At 42.8% G+C, this 24,071-nt stretch overlaps 1 protein-coding gene and 1 long non-coding RNA gene across 4 annotated transcripts in view; one reads left to right on the top strand and one right to left on the bottom strand.

The window, feature by feature from the left end:
- Positions 1 to 24,071, bottom strand: part of TNRC6B (trinucleotide repeat containing adaptor 6B) — a 290,975-nt gene that overhangs the window by 52,733 nt on the left and 214,171 nt on the right. Inside the window, exons 4-11 of one of the 3 annotated variants that reach the window (NM_001162501.2) lie at positions 20,903 to 21,244; positions 16,040 to 18,388; positions 12,796 to 12,954; positions 9,476 to 9,651; positions 5,925 to 5,999; positions 5,032 to 5,077; positions 2,933 to 3,081; positions 1,787 to 1,957 (exon numbers count right to left, since the gene is read on the bottom strand). In NM_001162501.2, the coding sequence (NP_001155973.1) occupies positions 1,787 to 1,957; positions 2,933 to 3,081; positions 5,032 to 5,077; positions 5,925 to 5,999; positions 9,476 to 9,651; positions 12,796 to 12,954; positions 16,040 to 18,388; positions 20,903 to 21,244 (3,467 nt within the window). The remainder of the gene's footprint in view (positions 1 to 1,786; positions 1,958 to 2,932; positions 3,082 to 5,031; positions 5,078 to 5,924; positions 6,000 to 9,475; positions 9,652 to 12,795; positions 12,955 to 16,039; positions 18,389 to 20,902; positions 21,245 to 24,071) is intronic. The other 2 variants (NM_001024843.2, NM_015088.3) reach the window with 2 other exon arrangements.
- Positions 6,243 to 24,034, top strand: LOC124905121 (uncharacterized). The gene is made up of 2 exons (XR_007068107.1): positions 6,243 to 6,545; positions 22,708 to 24,034. It is a non-coding gene; the product is annotated as an uncharacterized LOC124905121 (long non-coding RNA).

Here is a 24,071-nt window from a genome sequence, read left to right as displayed (position 1 = left end):
CGACAGAGGCAAGACTCCATCTCAAAATAAATAAATAAATAAATAAAAAATAAAAAATGAAAAATAAACGGGAGAAAAAAGGCACTTGTATATGTGCTAATGCAGGTTTGTGTGGCTATTACTAAAGCTCTACTGTTGTACAAGAGGCTTTTACAATTACCTGAGTCTGGTGGTATTTGCTTCAACTATACTGTTTAACTCAAAAAAGCATACAAATTAAAAACAAAATTACCAAGCTAACCAAAATCTGTGATTTGGAAAATCGAAATCTTAAATTTTATTAATATGAAGTATATTAAAATAATTCTGTAAGAAAATAGTCTTTAAAAACCATGTCCATATTTAGATAGAATATGTCCACAAACCTGGTTAACAATGGACTTTGTAGCAATCTACAGATCAAAAAAAATAAGAAGAATGACCTTTTTTTAGAGCCTAATGCTCGGCTAGTTTGGCTGGTCTACTATACTAATTTATGTACTAACAGCATTTGATAATCATGTGATCCACCACATTTACAATCACCATTAACTGTGAATGTTATGCCTATTTCATGTTTTCTATACCTCGATTCAAAATAAAAGAACCCCCAAAACATCAATATAATAATTTCTTCCATTTATATAAACAGTATATATCCATGTCCTCTGTGGAAGCAGTAAGGAAAATGATGAAATATAAAGGAAGAAAATAAAAAATCAGTTGTAACTCCCAATCCAGAAATAACCAACTGAACACATGGATATAGTATAATCCATTTTTTAAAATGTGCTAAGGCAGCAATTAGAAAGCATATAAGAGACCTATGTGCAACTTAACTGGTGTCAGAGGTATTGCTTCACATCACCCTGTAACGTGTATGTGGAAGTTATCATATGGAGACAGAACATCATCATGTATGCATCATGTGGATGCAACTAATAATTACAAGTTGTATAATTAACGTCCTCCCACAACGTCCTGAGGTGAAGGTCACAGTGACAAGTAAGTGGTCACAGAAGTATGGCTATCACTGCTGGGGTTATTGTTGCAAAGGAATTGTGACTCCAAAGTCCTGGTTTTCTCCACAAAAACTACAACAGAGCTATTGTGGGAAGGCAGGCAGGGTCATGCTGTGCACCCTCAGGCCTGGCAAGGTGAGGAGGCATGATCCTCCCAGGCCTGCCTGTCTTGTTTCTACTGCACAGCCCTTCCCTGGAGGGTTGCCAGATCCAACCCCAGGTGCAATGAAACACTGCTGTGTCTCAGCAATACCCATTCTTCCCAAAGCTTCACCGTTTACTATTTAAAGTTACCCTTCTCCGGGTAATTACTATATTTTACACTTAAAGACACTAGATTTCAAGATGCCATAACCCACAAATACTTAATCATACTAGTTTTCCTATTTTTAAATTAGCAGGTTTATTAAATTGAAAAGATCTCCAAAGTATTACATATCCAATCTAATGTTTAAAATGGCAAATGCATTAAGTTAGATTGTCTAAGGTACTTACGTAGCCTCTTTAACATTTTCCTTAGTCAGTTATTACTTATTAAATATGAACTTATGATCAAAAATGAGGAGACAAAAAAAAAAATACAGGTTTAAAATAAAATCCGTGTTGAAAAACATGAAGAGAGATGGGTTCTATGGGCTGAAAGATCTAGAACCTACACTTAATATCATTCTGTGCATTCAGTAATCAACAAATTTCCCAAGACAGACAAATGATGCAATAAACTGCAGACCAGGACCAAGGCGAGGCCATAGCCAAGCAGTTATAAATTTGAGAGGCCTCCTTACTTGTCTAGCAGCGAAGTTTTGGGGGTTGAGCCCTGTGCCGATTGCTCCAAGGCTGACGTTGGGTAGTGTGGAACCAGAGGGAGACAGCTTGTAGCTGGGAGAAGGGGAGAAGGGAGAGCAGGGAGCCTCATCCCCAAGGCACCCATCTTGATTGGAGAAAGGCAAAGTCAGCTGAAAAGTAGTAGGAGTTAGCCAATCACAACGAGTGTTGGTTAGTGAAGCAACAGAATGCAAGAAGGGAAAAGAGAGAAACACTAGCAATAAACAAAGTTAGAGTGTATTAGCAATAACCAAGGATGGAATTTGGATCTGATAATAATCTTTACACTTGGCCCAACAGACACCATCTGTCATCTTCTTTGATATAGATTTTTCTTTTCCTCTAAGTTAGTAACACGTTCTGTCCATTGCATTACAATAAAAATTGCCAGACACTTTATTTTTACGCATCTAATATTGATTACTCTAGCAATGTGGCTGCTGAAACAGAAGCCAGGCCAATCTTGTGAATATGTTGCTGTCTGGACCAGCAACAACAGTGTCAAAACGTGCCAGATTTAAAAATTTTGGTTTTAACTGCTTTCTGAAGATCAGGAACACAGCAAATTGGTATTCTGGATCAAGATATAATTCCCACCATTAGAAATGTTAAACATCAAAACCAATAGGTAGAAACTGCTTGGTTAAATTAGGTAGATGAGAATTTGAAAAGTATACCATTGTAACTAAACACAGATCGCTAGGAACTGGGGAAAGATAACAACAGAGTTATCTCAAAACTAGAAGAAGGCAAGGCCTTAGGAGACATGGAATATTTGCACAAAATCCCAAAATTTATTTTGTAGCTGCACAGCAGCGGAAAAAAGAATGCAGAGTAAGTTTATCTCTAAAATTTCCACACTTCATGAATTTCTCAAAACTCAGATTTTCTAATACACACATGCTAAAGACAGATGGTTCTTGCTCTTGCCTGATCACCTGTTGACATCAATGGTTTTCAGGTCACCACGTTAATGCAGGTGATGTTTGTGTTTTGCTCATCTAGTTCAGTAATTCTATGCTTCCTCTAGAATCAGTTATCAAAAGACAAATGGGAACCAAAGCGGTTCTCATGAATTATTATCTTAAACAAAGGATTCAACTCACCTTCTCAAAATAAGGCCCACTATCTGTGGTTCCCATGTCTTTGGAATTAGGTGGACGGAACCCAGATCGATCCTTCCTCATGATATCATTAAAATCCCCGAGATTCATCGCTCGCTTGTCCACATCAAATTTTTTATCTGAAAGGCTTCCTGAAAAGTAGCATACACAGAGTGAAAATTTCCAGAATCAATGTTTCCCCCATGAACCAAGAGTGACCTGCCCCACTATCCTCATGGGGGTGCTGGGTATAAGCTATTAATATTTCTATTTCTGGGGATAAGACGAGACAAACTCTCATTGGTCCAGGCTGCTGGTGTTTGTCCCTGGAACACACATGGGTCCTTTTTATTTATTTATTTATTTTAAAAAACAAAACAAAACATGTATCTGTTGTAGTTTGTTTTCCATGGAAGACTGAAAGAGCCTTAGGGATAACCTGGCAAAAATCTCGCTAAGAAAACATTTAGACTGGATACTGATGTGTCTGATGAACACATCTTGCTCATAAATTCAAATGTCCTCAGGGAGAGAAGTTGTCTGTTTTTGCTATTTTAGCATCATCTAGATAAATGGTCTGGGTGAAACATAGTTACAAGGAATAAAAAGATCAAAGAGGCACAGTGGTTGCCCTAAAATTTAGAACTTAAGAGCTGAACACAGAAGATGTGTCCACATTACCTACACGGTGCAATTTCCCAGGTGCCATAACTATACCACTTTTCTTTCACAACTCTATAAATGTGCTGTCGTCTGCTGATATAACCAGTGCTGCCCCAGGAAACTTATGTTTTAATTATTCTCATATTTAGAAATATCATAGATCAAAGACTACCTACTTCCTTTACTACCCAGAATTATTTTCATTTCTTCTTAGTTTGATTCTTTTCAAGTTCCTCAGGGTGATCAAGAGCATTACTATGAAAACCCCACAGACTAGTGGCTAACACCGTTTCCACTCCAGTTGCAATGTGAGAGTTTGTCAATAACGAAGCATCCTGGTACAGACAGGACTGGCAACTTGAGGGCCACATCTGGCACACAATTTGTTTGGCCCCATAGAGCATTTTAAGAGACCCGAATTAGTTCTGACATATAAAAATCAGGGCTGGGCACAGTGGTTCACACCTGCAATCCCAGCACTTTGGGAAGGCGAGGAAGGTGGATCACTGGAGGTCAGGAGTTCGAGACCAGCCTGGCCAAAATGGCGAAATCCCGTCCCTACTAAAAATACAAAAATTAGCTGTGCGTGGCGGCACACGCCTGTGATCCCAGCTACTCAGGAGACTCAGGCGGGAAAAATCGCTTGAACCTGGGAGGCAGAGGTTGCAGTGAGCAGAGATCAAGCTGCTGCACTCCAGCCAGGGTGACAGAGCAAGACTCCGTCTCAAAAAATCAATAAATAAATACAAAAATCATAATGCCAGTATATATCTGAATTTCTGGCCTCTGCTGAAAGACTTGTCATAGCTCAGCCTGGATTCCTCCAGAGCAGCAACTGCTAGGAGCAATGCAAGGCTGATTCTTCTAGGTGGACGCTCCACAGTTAACCTGTGGCCACCTCGTCCCAGGTTTTTTTTTTTTTTTTTTGAGACTGAGTCTCGCTATGTTGCCAGGCTGGAGTGCAGTGGCACAATCTCGGCTCAGTGCAACCTCTGCCTCCTGGGTTCACGCCATTCTCCTGCCTCAGCCTCCAGAGTTGCTGGGACTACAGGTGCGCCACACCATGCCCAGCTAATTTTTGTATTTTTAGTAGAGATGGGGTTTCACCATGTAGGCCAGGATGGTCTCGATCTCTTGACCTCGTAATCCACCCACCTCGGTCTCCCAAAGTGCTGGGATTACAGGCATGAGCCACCATGCCCGGCCTCGTCCCAGGTTCTTATACCCGGCACACATCACTTATTTACATTCTTTGCTGACTCCTGTAGTCATGTGAGTTTTCTATCCCTGCCCAGTGTCTAGCACAGTACCTTACAAAGAGTAAGTGCTCAATCAATGTCTACTGAACTGCACCTATCCCTAATCAAATTGGGCAGGAGATGCCAAAAGGACACTGTAACACTGATATACTCCATTCTTTTCAGCGGAGTGATACACACCTACAGACAAATCCATTTTGCTGCTTGGATTATCTTCAGTCTGACTCTGGAAAATAAAGAACAGATGAGAGAGAATTAAGGATGCACATCTTTGAATCAAAGAAGTGGCATTATTCACCTGAGAGCCACGTCTTACTACTGGCACCATAGAAGGTTCTCTGAAATGAACTTGATGGTACTGAAGACATTAACATTTTTAATATGCTAGCTTGATTGCTGTTTGGGCCTATATTCCTACAATTCAGTTTTCACATACAATTAGTCTCAATAAGTCTACAAAGAGAGCAATAGATAAACAGCTGCCTGAAGAAATAAACCCCCGTCCTTAAGTTCTAGTCAGCCCAGGATCAAATTCCATGAGTGACCGCCAAATAATGACAACTTCTTCTCGTGACTTGTCAAGTCATCAAACCTTCAACTGTGCAGCCAAGTCAAGTCATTTGTCTTTTGGCAACCAGGGACAGGGTGTCCCCACAACGTTGCCGAGAGATAAAGAAATCAGAAATTCTACAAGAATTCCCTATGTAATTAGTCCCAGTATAGTTTTTCTAGTTTCGTTATCGTTGCCTTTTTAAAAAATCATAATATGAAAACTAGTACAGTAATGCGGTTGGAAACAATTGTATAAATTTTTAATGCCTCTTTCTTCTCTATCCTCCTAAGGAAAAGGACAAAATGACTACACATTTAAAAGCCATAACCTTTAAATGTTGGAGTATGTCATTAATAAGAATAGAAGAGAAATATTACTTAACTCAAAAGGTCAAGAACATTGCTTAACTAGTTTTTAAATCTTTAATTTTGTACTATATGTGGCAGTTGTCTTAAAATTGGTATTAATATTAAACCTAAAAGTTGGGATACGTTATACATTTGAAAAAAATAAAACTTACCAGCAATCCCATATTTGAAAACTGTTTGGCAAGAGGATTCATCCATGAATCATTGTTTCCTCCTTTGAGTGAGCACTACAGAAATGAAACACGGAACCTCAGAACCAAATAATTTATTTCAGCCTCCTGAGTTTTATTAATACAGACTGAAAATGTAGACTTGAGTTTACCTTTTTAAGTCCTATTTCTCTTTAACTAAAATTATGTTGATATTTTATGTTAGTTTAAATGATTAATAAGCCCTAGTTATATCTATGTTTTCATTTTTATAAAATTCACCACACTGAACCAGAAGTAACTGGAAAAATACATGCTCAGCTGGTACTTTTGCTTTTCAAATAGAAAGAAGTCTGATATGATTTTCTAAAATAGAAGTTTTGCACACGACTACTTTCACTTTCATTAGGCTGCTCTCCTCGTAACCCAAACTGGTTTATGTTAGGAGAAAACAGTTTGATGTCAGTGCGTGTCATTTGGAAAGGAGCCTATTTAAACTGGGCATTATAAGGAACTCATAGTGCTTCCTCTGTTTGTTTCACAGCATAAAAGACATTGGTCCTGGTGGTAAAGAGACCTAGTGGAAGACACCATTGCTGATCTCCTGGGCAAAGTAGGGCAGAGGTAGGTTTTAATTTTTTAATGGGACAAACTAGTTTCTCCCCTGAACAAGGCACTGACCATGAGCTCCACTTTCACTTCTGTGAGGGAAGCAGGGGGAACTATGAAGAGGACTGGGTGGGCTGGGGCTTTGTGCAGTTGTGTATTTCACAGGTGAAAATTCTCTATGTTGTGATGATAGCTATCTTTTTTTTTTTTTTTCTCTGTCACCCAGGCTAGAGTGCAGTGGTGCCATCCCAACTCACTGCAAGCTTTGCCTCCCGGGCTCACGCCATTCTCCTGCCTCAGCCTCCCGAGTAGCTGGGACTACAGGCACCCGCCACCATGCCCGGTTAATTTTTTGTATTTTTAGTAGAGATGGGGTTTAACCATGCTAGCCAGGATGGTCTCCATCTCCTCACCTCGTGATCCGCTTGCCTCGGTCTCCCAAAGTGCTGGGATTACAGGTGTGAGCCACCGTGCCCAGCCCGTGATGGTAGTCATCAAATCAATTTTATTATCCTTGAAAGTGACGAAGTACTTAAGTTTAGTACAGGTTTTTTTGGTGTGTGTGTGGGGGGCGGTTTTTTTTTTTGAGACTGAGTTTCGCTCTTGTCACCCAGGCTGGAGTGCAATGGCGCGATCTCGGCTCACTGCAACCTCTACCTCCTGGGTTCAAGCAATTCTCCTGCCTCATCCTCCCAAGTAGCTGGGATTGCAGCTGCCTGCCACCACACCCAGCTAATTTTTGTAGGTTTAGTAGAGACGGGGTTTTGCCATGTTGGCCAGGCTGGTCTTGAACTCTTGACCTCAGGTGATTCACCTGCCTCAGCCTCCCAAAGTGTTGGGATTACAGGCATGAGCCACCGCAGCCAGCTAGTACAGGTTTTAAGGTCAAAAAAGCCCTCACTAGAGGGAGGGGGGAATGGGGAGTTACTGTTTAATAGGTACAGAGTTCAGTTTTGTAAGATAGAAAGAGTTCTGCGGATAGATGGTGGTAAATGGCAACATAAGTATGTGAATATACTTATTGCCACTGAACTGTACACTTAAAAATGTACGCTATGGTAAATTATATGTTATATGTATTTTATCACAATTTTTAAAAAAAACGCCCTCGGTATATAAAGTCAGAATCACTGGTACTGGGGCTGAAAGAGTCAATTCCCAATTAACTTAATTAAATCTTGGTTGTCAACCTAGAGAGGTATTTATTAGTCCCTTTCAATCAGTTAATTTAGTCTCATTGTTAATTTGTAAATAACCAAAAGAAAGCCAAAATCACACTAGACAACCTAAGAGTGCAAGGAATGCTGAAAAGTTTGCTGAATAATTCCTTCTGTGACTGAAGAAATAAAAGCTCTTAATAGAAGAAAACCCGTAAGTGACTGCTTAAGCAAAACATCTCTAAACAGAAACAGACTGTATTCTTATGCTATAAAAGAAAGAGTCATCTACAAAATTAGTGTCCTATAGGCAAAGGGCAAAGGGGATGAAGGCCCAATCCTCAGACATGGGAAGGCCTCTAAGATGGCATCTGGTATTTGAAACGTGGGAGAATATTAGCTGTGAACCGTTTCATAGGGTGCCAAGACTCTCATGTTGAAGTTAAGTATTGGATGCCCATTTCGTATTTCCACTATTTTATTTGTCAAACGAAAATCTGGAATTGAAAAAAGAGAGGGTCTGCGAAGACACTGGTTCAGGCTCAAAGACTACTGTTCTAGATTGAAAACCAAAGTCCTCATCAAACTGTGATGAGGACTTTCACACAGAAGGTGAAAAGTTTAGTACACAACCTGGTACATGATGTAGAGAAATCATCTAGCTGCTAGGCTGGGCGCAGAGGCTCACGCCTGTAATCCCAGCACTTTGGGAGGCCGAGGTGGACGGGATCACGAGGTCAGGAGATCGAGACCATCCTGGCTAACATGGTGAAACCCCATCTCTACTAAAAATACAAAAAATTAGCCGGGCGTGGTGGCAGCTGCCTGTAGTCCCAGCTACTCGGGAGGCTGAGGCAGGAGAATGGTGTGAACCTGGGAGGCAGAGCTTGCAGTGAGCTGAGACTGCACCACTGCAGTCCAGCCTGGGCGACAGAGCAAGACTCCGTCTCAAAAAAAAAAAAAAAAGAGATATCATTAATCATTTAGCTGCTATAGCACACAAGTACTCACTGGTATTTCATTTGTCGGGAGAAGGGTTCTGGGTCTTGGAATTTCCCAAATCAGATAAAATCAAGACGTGCTGATTGCCGCGGGAGAAGCCAGCATTATCTTCCTCTGGATTCCCTCCTACATATCTATGGGGATTTACTGGAAGGACTTCTCTGGCTTTAGAATGCAAAAGCATTTATAAAGTATGCCTTGAGAGCCTCCAAAAGATTATTATAATGTGGAAACTAAAAATGAAAAATATCTCGTATCTTTGAAAACTTCATTTTACCCACAGCAACAGTTTTATAGTTCAAGGTTTCAAGGTCATGGGAAAGCAAGACGAAGGGTAAAAGGGAAGTAGTTATTTGTTTCCAAGAAAATATTTTTCCCCTTACTTAGGACCTTGAGGACCCCAGTTGCCTCACACCTTTCATTTAAAAATCCTCAGTTCTGGCTAGGCATGGTAGCTCCCACCTGTAATCCCAGCACTTTGGAAGGACAAGGCAGGAGGATTGAGCCCAGGAGTTTGAGACCATCCTGGCAACAGGGCGAAACCCTGTCTCTATTAAAAAATACAAAATTTAGCCAGGCATGGTGATAGTTCCGGCTACTAAGAAGGCTGAGGTGGGAGGACTGCTTGAGCCCAGGAGGTTGCTCAGCGAGTCGTGACTGTCCCACTGCACTCCAGTCTGGGTGACAGAGGGAGAACTTGTCTCAAAACAAAAACAAACAAAACAAAACCTCAGTTCTGCCTTCTCAGAGCGAATGAGCAAGTGCGAACATTTCTAAGCAGGCTACCTTCATTTGTTTCTTTCCTCCTTGTCCCCAGCTTGCTGAGTTGTGGGAGGAAGCACTGCCCTGAGAGCCAGTGGTGTTCCAGACTCCTCCATCCTCCTCCTCTTCCCAGCTGGGATGGCGAGCTCCTGTGACTGGCCCGTCACTCTCCCCCCAGCCGTCTTGCATAGATTTGGAATCTTTAAGGAAAGAATGAATTAACTCTTTGCAACAGCTATATAAAACAATCATCAGAATAATAATTCCTTGCAGATGCAGCATTTACGTGTCTTTGTAATTTTATCTACTCCATCTCCATGGCAAGACAAATATTATTACTCATTTTTTAGAGAGCAGGAAACTAAAATCCATAAAGCTTCAATGATACACAGAAAGTTAACAAACCATAGAATCAAGGCCTCCTGATTTATGGATCAATGCTTTTTCCCTTGCACAAAGTTGGACAGGAATTTCAAAACTGAAAAGAACTTATCACAACATTCCTGGCAAGAAATTTCACATCTCAATTAAGATAAATCTGTTCCTCTTAATGAACATGGTTTACTGTAGCCCTGGTTTTATCCTCCATTCAGTATGTACTTTATATACAATGGACACTATAAATACGAGGTATGATAAAGGACAACTGTCTAGCTTGCTTGGGGTGAAGCAGAGACGAACAGAACATGAAAAGGGGGAAAATTTTTTATAACATTTTTGAATATTAGAATTATGGTGAAAGAAGAAAAATTCACATATAGCCATGGAAATCTAAAATGTATTAGAACTACACACTTGAAATGTATTAGATACTAAAGAGGCAAAGAATTTATACGTAGTGGTTTTGAAAAGACAGAAGGAAAAAATGTGAGGAAAGGAGAAAGGAAAGCAGAGAGAAATCCAAGAGGCTTTAATGTTTGAGGAAGTGGGACATCAGTATCCCATTCTAAACAAAGATCTTTAATTTGAAGACTGGAATAAGTCCTTAATTCCCTCCGAAAATACTGTACAGAATCAAAACATACTTTGCAGTAAAAATACTGTATAAAATGATGAAAGAAAAGGAAACACATTCTCTTGCCTGGAAACTTCCATCTGCACCTCTACTCTCCCACATGACAGGACATTTATGAAAGTCTTCTGATTTGTACATAGCTTTATATGAAGAGTTTAAGGGCAGAAAATTGGCTCTTCCAGGCCTTTCCTTGAAGGACAGCTGTCACCCTGTAGGATCAGGCCTATGATAGACAAGTAGGTTTGGGCCAAGTACATAAGGCACAGGGCAATTAATTTCTTCTAACTGTAGCATCTCATCCCCTAGCAAGGCCCAGGTGAATCTGACAGTCTCCCAGTGGGGTTCATTGTAGCCACAGGAAGGGGCTGTCTGTGCACAAGGGGGAGGGTTGGGATGCTCCTCTTCCTGCTGCTGGAAGTGCTGCTGATAACCAGGACTGCTGCCTCTGTATATAGGATTATATATTTATATAATACCATATTTATGATTTATATTATACAAGCATAGGCTTTATAGCATCCACTGACAAGCAACACGAGCTAAAAACCCAATATAAATAACACACTGACCCCTTTAGAAAAATGAAGACATGCAAGTGAACCTTTCTTTTAGAGAGATAAAGCTAAACTTCTAACAAATGTTTCTTACAGAAAAGATAAGAGAGGTCTAATTTTTAATCATAGGATTCATAACATCAAATTTAAGACAGGCTACAGAAGATCACAGGGTAACTGTCTCCATCAACTGGTAGACTATGATGGTTTAGCCCTTTCTTCCGCACATTACACATTTAACTTACCCACAGAAAGGATGTGTGCTATAACTACAGATGATCCTGAAGAGTAGAAGACATTTTTAGAATCTGAGGAAAAGTGGTTTTGTGATAGAAGAGAGGTGATCCTGAGGTTGGGAAAGACACATGAAAATCCTGAATATACTGCTAAAGGATCTCTTTGTGCCCAGGGTCTGATTAACATCTTCTTGCAGCATTTTGGGTCTATTTCAAGTCTACTAGATTACATTTCCCATGATGATACGACTGATTTCACAATAGAAATAATGATAAAAACAAAATTTTCATAAAGCTAACTATTTTAATGAGGTCGAGGAGATTCATGATTTTTAAAATGTAGTCAAATTACTACATATACACACATGTGAATTTCCAGAATAGAGCTAATATCACATTCCCTTATGTGGCACTGTAAGAGTACTGAATATAATGTGATAAACTTAACAGAATTTATCTTCTTGTTTGAATTTTGGTCATTCCAGAAATGTTCATTATTTAATCAAAAGATAATCCCTTAAATCTGCTTCTATATGGTAGAAAAGAGATGTTGGAACATTTTAAAGAAAGTTACAAAAGTAAGTGTAAACAGGCACCTGAATTTAGCAACAGTCAATGAGACATTCCATAGCCTCAGTCCACAGAGTTCTGCTCATTACTGTGACCACACATCACCAGCTGGATCAAGTACAGCTTAGATTTTAGATTTTCAATGATTCTGAATAAGTGTGACGTTCTTCATTTAAAAAATTGAAGTGAAATTTATGCCAGGTTTAAAAAATCTGAAATGCTCTTATGTGGAAGAGAGACAACGGCAAAGGAAGGTGCAGAAGGATGAAGTCACTGGGCAGCACAGATCGTGTTCCACATTAAAAGCCAGGAACTCTTGTTTTAAATTATACTAACAAGTAGAAATGCAAGCTAGATATGGTGAGCACATAGTCACTGGGCTAAAAGAGCATCACATCAAAATTATAATTCTGTCCAGATACTAAATTTAAAACAAAATTAACTTATGATTTTTAATTCACCTTAAACATTTTAAGAAACGCCAAGCCAAGCCACAACCGTTTGCTATTAACTAATTATTTAACACTCAAGGTCCTGAATCTCATTGAATCAACAGCTTAAAACTAAACAGCCCTCACCAAAATGTCAGATTCTCAAATCTGACATTTGACAAACATTTAACAAAGAATCCCGGCCGGGCACGGTGGCTCACGCCTGTAGTCCCAGGACTTTGGGAGGCCAAGGCGGGTGGATCACAAGGACAGGAGTTCAAGACCAGCCTGACCAACATGGAGAAACCCCATCTCTAATAAAAATACAAAAATTAGCCGGGCGTGGTGGCGGGCGCCTGTAATCCCAGCTACTCGGGAGGCTGAGGCAGGAGAATCGCTTGAAGCTGGAAAGCAGAGGTTGCAGTGAGCCGAAATTGCACCACTGCACTCCAGCCTGGGTGGACAAGAGTGAAACTCCGTCTCAATTAAAAAAAAAAAAAAAAAAGGATCCCTCAAAAATGAAAAGCTTCACACTTACTAGGCTTCATGGCATTGGGAGCGTTGGCGGGCGTGTTCCCCCAGCCTGTGGTCGATGCTCCTGTATCATCCATCTCGCCCCACCCAGGACTGCTTTCATTTGGCTCACCCCAAGCGGAAGTACCATTATCTGGAGCAGGTGGTGTGCTTTTGCTCCAGACTATAAAGAAAGGAAATGTCTCTAAGAATCATTTGTTAAATGAAATGCCATAATATCCAGTGGGGTGAAGGTGGAAGGAACAGGCATGCCTATATTCTGTTGGTAGAAATGTAAATAGATTCAACTTTCATGTGAGGGGTATTTGGCAATGCTACTTTTTAAAAAATCCGATGCACATTAAACTTTTCACCCAGTAACTCAACTGCCAGGAATTTTTTTTTTTTTTTTTTTTTTGAGACAGAGTCTTGCTCCATCCCCAAGGCTGGAGTGCAATGCCGTGGTCTTGGCTCATGGCAACCTCCACCTCCCAGGTTCAAGCGATTCTCCTGCCTCAGCCTCCCGAGCAGCTGAGATTACAGGCGTGTGCCACCATACCCAGCTAACTTTTGTATTTTTTTTTTTAAGTAGAGACAGGGTTTCACCACATTGGCCAGGCTGGCTTCAAACTCCTGACCTTGTGATCTGCCTGGCTCAGCCTCCCAAAGTGCTGGGATTACAGGCATGAGCCATCATGCCCAGGCTGCCAGAAAATTATACCATAAATATACTTGTAAAAATAGGTGAAATTACATGTATAACAATACTCACCGCATCACTGATAGAAAAAATTTGGAAACAACCTAAATATCCACCACAAGGGGACTGGTTAGACCAATTGTGGGTCACCCATAAAAGAAGTACTGTGTAAAGGCCAGGCACAATGGCTCACGCCTGTTATCCCAGCACTTTAGGAGCCAAGGCGGGTGGATCTCCTGAGGTCAGGAGTTCAAGACTAGCCAGACCCACATGGCAAAACCCCATCTCCAGCAAAAAATACAAAAATTAGCTGGGCGTGACGACGCATGCCTGTAATCCCAGCTATTCGGGAGGCTGAGAAGGAGGCTCACTTGAACCCGGGAGGTGGAGGTTGCAGTGAGCCAAGATTGCGCCACTGCACTCCAGCCTGGGAGACAGTGAGACTCCCTCTCAAAAAAAAAAAAAAAAAAAAAAAAAAAGAAATACTGTATATGAAGCAATTAAGCAGCAGACTATGTGCTAAAATTGGAAGCTATAAGTATAATGAGAAAAGCAAGGTGAAGAACAGTATACGAAGTACAATCCCTTCTCTGTAAAATTTTTGAATGGGACACAAACTTCTAAGAGATTACCTTTGGGAAGAGACCCTAGGGGTTAAGATTATTATTATTATTATTATTATTATTATTTTTTGAGACGGAGTCTTGCTCTGTCGCCCAGGCTGGAGTGCAGTGGCGTGATCTCAGCTCACTTGCAAGCTCCATCTCCTGGGTTCACCCCATTCTCCTGCCTCAGCCTCCCGAGTAGCTGGGACTACAGGTGCCCGCCACCACGCCTGGCTAATTTTTTCGATTTTTTAGTAGAGGCGGGGTTTCACCGTGTTAGCCAAGATGGTCTCGATCTCCTGACCTCATGATCTGTCCGCCTCGGCCTCCCAAAGTGCTGGGATTACAGGCGTGAGCCACCGCGCCTGGCCAAAGATTATTTTATTGACTATCTTTTGCTTTTCCACACAGTTTGAAGGTTTTTGCTATGTGGATGTAGCTTTTTAAAATTTTAGCAGGTTTTATTCTGCATGGGGAGCCAGTGAGAAATCTTCATTTCCTTCCTCATTCTTTTCAATACTTGAAAAAAGAATGAGTTAAAAGTAATCATTTTTCTAAGAGGCCACAAATGGATTAGCTGAACACTAGAGGTGTACTCGGAGAAAACTGATTCTTGGCTGGGCACAGTGGCTCATGCCTGTAATCCCAGCACTTTGGTAGACTGAGGCGGGTGGATCACCTGAGGTCAGGAGTCTGAGACCACCCTGGCCAACATGGTGAAATCCTGTCTCTACTAAAAATACAAACATTAGCTGGGCATGGCAGTGGGTGCCTGTAATCCCAACTACTCAGGAGGCTGAGGCAAGAGAATCACTTGAACTTGGCACGGAGGTTATAGCGAGCCGAGATCGTGCCACTGCACTCCAGCCTGGGCAACAGAGTGAGACTCTGTCTCAAAAAAAGAAAACTGGTTCTTAATATTAATTTTAACTAAAAAAAGACTGAAAGGTGCATCCCCCTTAATTTGTTGAACTATATGCTCTATAGGGACATTCAAGTTGACAATGACAAACTAAGAATGGCATTACCATTGCTACTTTTACCAGGTATGATGTTTCCTATTCAAATAGTGACGGAAGAAAGTTTAATTCTGGGCAACTGACTATCCTAACAATCGCTCTTTTTTTTTTGGCAACAGGGTCTCGCTCTGTCTCCCAAACTGGAGTGCAGTGGTGAGATCATAGCTCCCTACAGCCTCCCATCTCCAGGGCTTAGGCGATCCTCTTACCTCAGCCTCTAGAGTAGGTGGGACTATATGCACATGCACCACACCCGTCTGATTTTTAAAAAATATTTTTGTAGAGACTGAAGTCTCTCTAGGTTGCCCAGGCTGGTCTCAAACTCCTGGGCTCAAGGGATCCTCCTGCCCTAGTCTCCCATAGTGCTGGGATTACAGGTGTGAGCCATCTCACTAGGACTGAGATAACAATCTCTTATACAAAGTACTCCCATTCCAGAGGTAATCATTAAAAATCATCCAGAAAGAGACTGAAACCTTCCAGATCCAGCTTTGCTTCAGCATCATCATGGCCTTTGGAAAAACACAGAATTATTTCCCTTTGCTGGGGAAACAGAAGCAGAGACATGTCCATGGGTAGAACCAGAATGGAAATCAGGTCTATTTCTGCTACTACTTTAATTCTTTATTTTAAAATCTAGAACATAGTTTGTTTGGCAAGATATGTCTTTTGGATTCTGCAGACCAATACAATTACAGAAAAATAATTTTGGGGACTAACACAGGGTTGTCATCTTTTCCTTTTGCCAAGAAAGAACATTAAAATGTACTACCAGCATCTGCCATCACTAGCATTTCATAAAAAGAGGTTCTGTTAGCAACAGAGTAGAAACTGTAGGAAAGCATCTCAGAACAAAACTAAGTTGAATAAATTCACCTAATAAAAATGCCTTGGTCTAGGATTCCTTTTCTTCATCAAAAGCTGCAAGAGAAAGCCACTGCTTACCTGATGCCGATTTACTGGTCATTGGGGTGGGCAGGTTTGGTTCTCGAGGTGCTGGGCCCCCTTGGGAATTCTTATCCCACAGATTCACATTCTTGTAGTTATAACTGTTAGGGTCTCCCCATGCTGAAGTGCCATCATCAATGTCCATTTTCCGACTAATTGACTGTGGGGATGGCTCTTCCCAACCACTGGGTTCCTCATCCTTAGGTGTTGCAGGCTGTGGCCCGCTGCTCCAGCTGGAATTGGAAGGTCGAACGTTGCCTGGAGGTGGTGGGGGTGGGCCTCCCCACGAACCAGAAGCCTCTGGTTGTGGTGGCGGCGGCTGCTGTGGGGGCTGCTGCTGTTGGTGTTGTTTATTCCAGGAATTGGGCTGTCGGCCCGTCTCATTCCATGCTGGGGATCTTTTGCAATCCTCCCACCCACCTTTTGAAGCTAGGCTTGCATTGCCACCATTACCCCAAGTCCCGATTTCATTCTGCCCTCCTTCACCCCACCCAGACACAGGTTTACTTGCAGAACTTTCCCAATTGCTGTTTTTTGTCTGATCGACTTCCTCCCCCCAACCATTCTTTCCAGAAGACCATCCTTGATTGGGCTGGCGTCCACCTCCCCACCCCTGATCCTTGCTGGGATTCTCATTCCAAGAGGAAGGTGTCTTTTCATCAGGTCGTCCTCCTCCCCAGTTGGAAGAGTTGTTGTTCTTGTAGTCATTCCAGCCTCCTGTGTTCTTGGGGTCTTTCCACTCTGTAGAGGCTGAGAGCTCCCCCCATCCAGACTTCATTTGATTGCTTTGGCTGGGTGCATCTCCCCAGCCCCCTGAGTTCTTGGTCTGTGTGGCAGCGCTCTCCCACCCCTCAGTTCCTTTGTCAGATTTCCCCTCAGGCCTTGGCACCTCTTCAATGTCCCACACTGTGTCCTGCTTAATTTGAGTTTGGCCCCAGCCAGTGTTTGAGAGCACCCTGGGGTCCAAATCAGTTCGGCTCAAAAGAGTCTGCAAGACAGCCTGACAATCAGGATGTGTGGGCCTGTACGACCGACGGCCAGAGTTATGACTGTCACTACTTCCTGCTTTGTGGTTGCTTCCAGTGCTTTGACCTCCAACTTCACTTCCTGTGGAGCTGGAAGATCTTCCCCAACAGGGAGCCTGGGCATTGCCTTGGTTTTCAGGGAGGGGGTGGCCCTTTTGATTGTCCCATGCTCCAGTGCTAGAATTTGGTTGGTTTGGACCACTCCATTCTCCAATTTTCAACTCATCAGACCCAGTCGGCTGTTTCCATTCTCCCTGAGAGACCCCAGATGTCATTTTGTTCCCTTCACCCCATTTGTTGTCATTAGAGTCCTGGGGGCCAAAGTTCCAGGACCCACCCGTAGACCTGTTATTGTTGTCCCAAGAGTCATTTTTTGACCCAGTTGATTTCTGAACAGAAGCTCCTTTCCAGGAGTCCTCTCTCTCTTTTCCATTGTTCCCATTGTTTCCAGAATTGCTTTGTCCAGAGACTGTGTCAGTTCCAGAAGGCCCCCTAGCTGCACCCCAAGATCCAACACTCCCAGTCTTTCGATCTCCAGTGCTTTGTGAAGGGGCATCAGTGCTCCTGGAGGTGTTCCCCAAGCCCATTCCAAAGGGCATTCCCTTATTCTCCATGGGGTTTGGTGAACTTAAGTTCAAGGAGTTAGTGTTTCCATTTTTTGGTCCATCAGTGTTATGAATTTGAGCCTGTTCTCTGCCAGAGACAACAAAATTAACACCCGCATTTTCCATCTTTGACTGCTGTTCCCTGGATGTCTGACCTACTGTGCTAACCTGTGCACTGGAATTACTATTATCTGTTTCCAATGCCCCTTTCCTAGAAGTTCCTTCTTGGACCAGTGCTGGCCAGGCAGATGGGTTGCTATTTGGGTTAAAGTTGCTGAAGCCAGAGCCAGGTCCAATTCTATCCTGACCACTCACATTCCTCCAATTTCCTAGTCCATTGTTGTTCTCTGTAGTAGAGTTGGAAGATTGAACAGATTTAGCCTTAGGGTCAGATTTCCAGACCCCAAGATTACATTCGTTCCCAGAACTTGCAGACTGGCACTGGCTCCCTTTTCCTTTGTTACTAGTGGTGCTTCCTGGCAGAGTGCTCTTCTCAGAGCCAGGGTTCGAGGCACTGTTGTTATCGGTGGTGTTTTCGGAAGAAGATTCAGTGTCTTTGCTGGCAATACAAGGCCACTCTTCCATGTCAGACCCGTCTACAATCACCTTGTCCCAGATGTGAATTGGGTTGGGGGAGGTGCCGTTGTTGGAGGAGGCTCCCGAGCCCCAAGTGGAATTTGCATAATTTGAAGCAGCAGCACCTCCAAGGGTTGAGTCTGGGGAACAGATCATCTTATTAATCACAGCTTCAAATGCATTCATTACCCATTAATCCCTCAAAGGGGCTCTCCTTTGAGCTCTGCCCTTAGGAGAGCTGATCACATGCCAGTTTCTCTCAACCCAGTTGCTTGTATCACAACTGTCTTAGTCATCTCTTTTTTTTCATTTGCCTTGTGTTACACCGGTTAAGTCTAACTTCATCTCTCTCAAAGCTACGTCCTTTGCCATTCCTATTGACAGAGAAGGGCCTTCTTGTATCTTGGGACAAGGCAATAGCAATGGCACTCTAAACTTGCTCTGTATCTTCAACCTACTCTAAACACCCCTGGCTGGAGCAATCTTTCTAAAGCACACTTTTGATTATATCACTGCTGTATGGAGAACCTTCAACAGTTCCTTAGTGCACAAGAATAAAGCTGAACTCCTTGGCCTCGAATGTCATCAAGATGTTCCATGACCTGGGACCAACCAACTTTTCTAGTCTTATCTTCTACTACCTCCTATGTAGATGTCAATATTCGATACTACTTGACATTCCACAACTTGTGCCTTCTCACTCTGGCACCATTTCACGTTGGCACCTACTGTGTTTTCCTGCTGAATTCACACAGTGAAATTTACTCATCCTTCTGGGCCCAATTCAAGTGTCATTTCATCTGCGAAGCTGTTTTCAAGCTCATCACCTGAAAATAATCTTTCCCTGTCTAGAGCCATTTTGCTCAGTGCTGTGGCACCATGTTCACAACTTTCCTTCCCCATGTTAGCGTCTTTTAGGCAGAGACCCTAACTTGCTAACGTTAGAATTCCACACAGCAGCCAGCACAATGCTGCGGAGTAAGCATCTGCTGAATGATGAATACCCACTGAGCCACTGAGCTAGGTGCCCAGGGTGGCAGGGGTGTCACATGAGTATGAATTAGGCAGAGTTCACAACCCCAAGGAACTTAATCTGTTAAATGAGTCTGGCTCACCATATATTTTGGTGGAATTTACCATATTTGGTGGGAAAAACATGTTTTTAATGAGATCATTTCTTCTAAATTTATTTTGGCTTCTTTAACCAGGCAGCTTTTAATCAATTTGAAGTTTCAAAAAGTATTATACGGAGGCATAGAAAAATAAAAAGCATAGAAACCGAAACTCGAGATTTAGGGGCCTCCTCCGTTTTAATAATGTGGACTCTGACTCACACTGGACCCCAGTCTCCACCTAGGCCTGGCTACACTCGGCTGCAGAAACTCCGCCTGACAGGGCCTGCCCCTTCACATGCTTCCTTTTGCAGCTGGTTTGGAGAGCCAGGAAGGAAAGGCCATGGGTAGGGCTTATCTCTGCAGGAAGTCTGTGTCACCACGAGGTTTCTTTCCATCCTTACTCTGCACACAGCAAGATGGTGACCAAATTTTCTAGGCAATTATTTGTTTAAACTCAGAACTCAAATAAAGCATCCTACTGGTGACAACCATCAATTCATTATCTTTGCCAATGCCTAATGGTATTCAAGCTCTGAATTTTAATATCACCCCAAAAGACATTTTAAGTTGAAATCTGTTAATAAACTTTAAAAGATATTTAGAATTTCTTAGCTGTTAGTTGACTTAGTATTCATCTATTAAAAACTCTCACAACTTTTTTTTTTTTTTTTTTAAGACGGAGTCTGGCTCTGTCACCCAGGCTGGAGTGCAATGGCGCGACCTCGGCTCACTGCAAGCTCCGCCTCCTGGGTTGACGCCATTCTCCTGCCTCAGCCTCCCGAGTAGCTGGGACTACAGGAGCCCGCCACCATGCCTGGCTAATTTTTTTATATTTTTAGTAGAGACAGGGTTTCACCATGTTAGCCAGGGTGGTCTCGATCTCCTGACCTGGTGATCCACCCGCCTCGGCCTCCCAAAGTGCTGGGATTACAGGCGTGAGCCACCGTGCCCGGCCAAAAACTCTCAAAACTTCTAGTAGAACCTTTCAGCTAAATATCCCTTATTTCTACATACAGTTTTTAACAAAGCTCAAAATCCAGGGCCCACAAAAAGAAATACTGAGTTTAAAAATCTAATTTAAAAACTATAGTATTATTTTAGAATCCTCCGAAGATTCTATATTGCAATGTAGCAAATCATTTTCTCTATCCTCCTAGCATTCTGGAAACATAACACAGGCATCTAAAGATTCGCCTTCGCACAAGCCCCATGTCCAATTATGCCCTGAACACATATGACGGTGGAACTATGGAGGCTCAAATTTGTAACACTCTAGTCTGAGAAGGAAAAAAGGCCCCCAAAATAATAAGCAACAGCAGTTAAGTTAGCCCTTATGCCAAGAGCACACACTTACGGAACACTAAACCTCAGTTCCAAGAATCACCAATACACATCGCATACTAGGATCCTCTCTCATCTTTTGACTAATCCCAGTGGTTTATATAATGAATGGCTTTCCTGGACTTTACATCAAGCAATGCAAACAAAGTGCTCTCTCTCTGTCAAGCTGCCATGCATTCGATTCACAGGGTGCCTTACCTGGCGCAGTCCCACTCTCACTCTGCAGCAGCGCTCCTGTCACTTGTGCGTTGTTTGGGTTTGCTCCAGGTGCTGTGCAGGGAGGAGGCCCTGCCCCACCCCCAAGGAGCATGCAGGACGGTGGAGGGGGCTGCCCACGTTTTAGTAACACTTTGTGGTCCTGCTGGCAACGGAATCGCGGCGGCACCTCCCGAGGCATGTAGCGGGCGGCGCTTGGCGGTTGTCCGTTCGGCACTGCCACCCTTTTGGCATTGTTGCCACCATTGACTGGTGGCGATGGAGAGCTGCCAATTGGGCTGGCGGCCGTTGGTTGGCTTAAACTTGGTTTCGTCACTTCGGGCACTAAAAGAGAGGGGTTGGGAAACAGTCTTTGAAATACATCAAATACATTTTTTCTAAAAATTTTAAAAATAATTTTATTATTTTATTTAGAGATGGGGTCTTGCCATGTTGCCCATGCTGGTCTTGAACTCGGGCTCAAGGGACTCTCCCACCTTGGCTTTCCAAAGTGCTAGAATTACAAGAGTGAGCCACTGTGCCTGGCCAAGATTATTATTTATTTATTTATTTATTTATTTTTGAGACGGAGTCTCACACTGTCACCCAGTGTGAGTGTCGCCCAGGCTGGAGTGCAGTGGTGCAATCTCCGCTCACTGCAACCTCCGCCTCCCAGGTTCAAGCAATTCTCCTGCCTCAGCCTCCCAAGTAGCTCGGATTACAGGCGCCCACCACCAAAACCAGCTAATTTTTTGTATTTTTAGTACAGACAGGTTTTCACTATGTTGACCAGGCTGGTCTTGAACTCCTGACCTCATGATCCGCCTGCCTTGGCCTCCCAAAGTGTTGAGATTACAGGCATGAGCCACTGCACCCAGCCTATTTTTTATTTTTTTGAGATGAGGTCTTGCTGTATAACTCGGGCTGGAGTGCAGTGATCTTGGCTTGCTGCAACTTCTACCTCCAGGGCTCAAGTGATCCTCCCACCTCAGCCTCTTGAGTAGCTGGGACTACAATGCATACACCACTATGCCCAACTAATTTTTTTTTCCTCCTCTAGAGACAGGGTTTTGCCATGTTGCCTACCTAGACTGGTCTCGAACTCCTGAACTCAAGCTATTTACCCACCTCGGCCTCCCAAAGTGCTGGGATTACAGGTGTGAGCCACCACACCCAGACCCTGGCTAAGATTATTTGTAAGAAAGCTTACATGGTACCAATTCTAACAAAGTAACTTCTCCTTTTACTCTACTCTCAAGGGAAACAGTTTTTCCAAATTCTCCACAATCTCTCCAGTTTGCTGAAGGTAGGATGAAGGTGGCGGCTGACAGTGACAAGAATTTAAACACAGCAAGGTCATGGAATACATTCCATTAATTAAGGCGGAGAGGGAAGCAATCAACATTCACTCCCCTAAATCAACAGTGGAATTAATTCCCTGAAGTGCTGCCTAGAAGAGTTAAATGTCCATGGCAAAGTCCTTGGGAAAGGTTTCAAGCCTCAGTCCAAGGGTCCCTTCCCTTCATCCACATTCTTAAAAGATCTACCCCTGAGTAAACTTTATTGAAGCCCCTGGCCTAGATGGGCTAAACATTCTTCCTAAGTGCTCCTGGAACACATCATCCATCTCTCTCTACCATGAAAATTCTCCATTCAAAAATCCATCTATCTCTACCACCGAAATTCTCCATCTACAAGTCCCATCTCTCTCTATCACAGAAATTCTCCATTTACAAGTCCTTCTCCCTCACCAGGCCATGACTTCCTGAGGGCAAGGACCCATCTTTCATCTTTTCTTTCTTCCTTAGGGCATGGCACAGAGTGGACTCTTACAAGAAACTCCAGGCCTAGAAAATCACAAACTCAGCTTGGTTCTGGTTTCTACAGCTACCTGGACTCAAAGACTTGCACCGCTCTCTGTGTAAATACTAGAAATGTTACAAATCTTTTTGCTTTTCTTTAAAAAAAAAAAAAAGTGTTTCTTCCCAATTCTTTAAAATAGAAATTTCAAAATGTAAATACTTTTTCTGTTTACTTTAAATCATTTGATTTTTTTAAACTTAATTTTAAAAATGGCCCGCACACAGCGTGGGAATGTCGGGGCAACCGTGAAACCGCACTCTGCCGGACCCTCTGGCTCTTCCCGTCGAACATACAGAGAAGGCTCTCTTAGATCTGTACCTCCCTCGCTGCATGCTGCCAGAAGATCACTACCCTCTCCATAAAAATCTACCTGGCAAATAGAGGCTGGAAGTCGTACAGAAATAATCATCAAGCCTGACAGTTCGGATGATTCTGAGGCCCAAATCCCTGCCTCCCAGGGTAACGTCAGGGCCAACTCTGGGGGTAGTACTGCTTTGACTGCTAAAATGATGCGGGGCCAGCATGTTGCTTGCTGAACTGGCTCCTTTATGAGAGAGATACATCATCAGAAATCAGGCGGCCCAATCTATGCCACTACTGGACATTAACATACTGTGGGTGACAGGAGAAAAGAGCAGGTGCCTGCAGCAATTTCCAGGTAACCCCATGTCTAACCTCAGCTAATCACAAGGCAGCACCAGGCCTCCCAGTAAGGGGAGGGGGAGTGGAGGTCAGAGGATCCAAAATCTGATGAGCAGAATAAATGTGTGACTTAAGAAAATAAAATTAGTCGGCCAGGCGCGATGGCTCACGCCTGTAATCCCAGCACTTTGGGAGGCCGAGGTGGGTAGATCACAGGGTCAGGAGATCGAGACCATCCTGGCCGACATTGTGAAACCTAGTCTCTACTAAAAATACAAAAATTAGCTGGGCGTGGTGGCATGCGCCTGTATTCCCAGCTACTCAGGAGGCTGAGGACGAGAATTGCTTGAACCTGGGAAGCGGGGGTTGCAGTGAGCCGAGATCGTGCCACTGCCCTCCAGCCTGGGCCACAGAGCAAGACTCTGTCTCAAAAAAAAAAGAAAAGAAAATTAGTCATTATCTAATATTCATGACCTATAACAACAGATGGATACATAACTGGTAAATGAATGAATGAAGATTATTTAATATTAATTTTCTATCTGTTACTGGAGGATTCTATAGCACAGGGCATTCGCAATCCCCTTTTATCTTATTATGAGAATAAACAAGAAGTTGGCAGAGACTGGAGAAATTCATCCCAACTGGTTTTTAGGACAGAAAGAGC

This window comes from Homo sapiens, chromosome 22 (assembly GCF_000001405.40).
Source record: "Homo sapiens chromosome 22, GRCh38.p14 Primary Assembly".
NCBI lineage: Eukaryota > Metazoa > Chordata > Mammalia > Primates > Hominidae > Homo > Homo sapiens.
The sequence above is the reverse complement of the archived record's forward strand: the minus strand, read 5'-3'. Positions and strand labels throughout refer to the sequence as shown.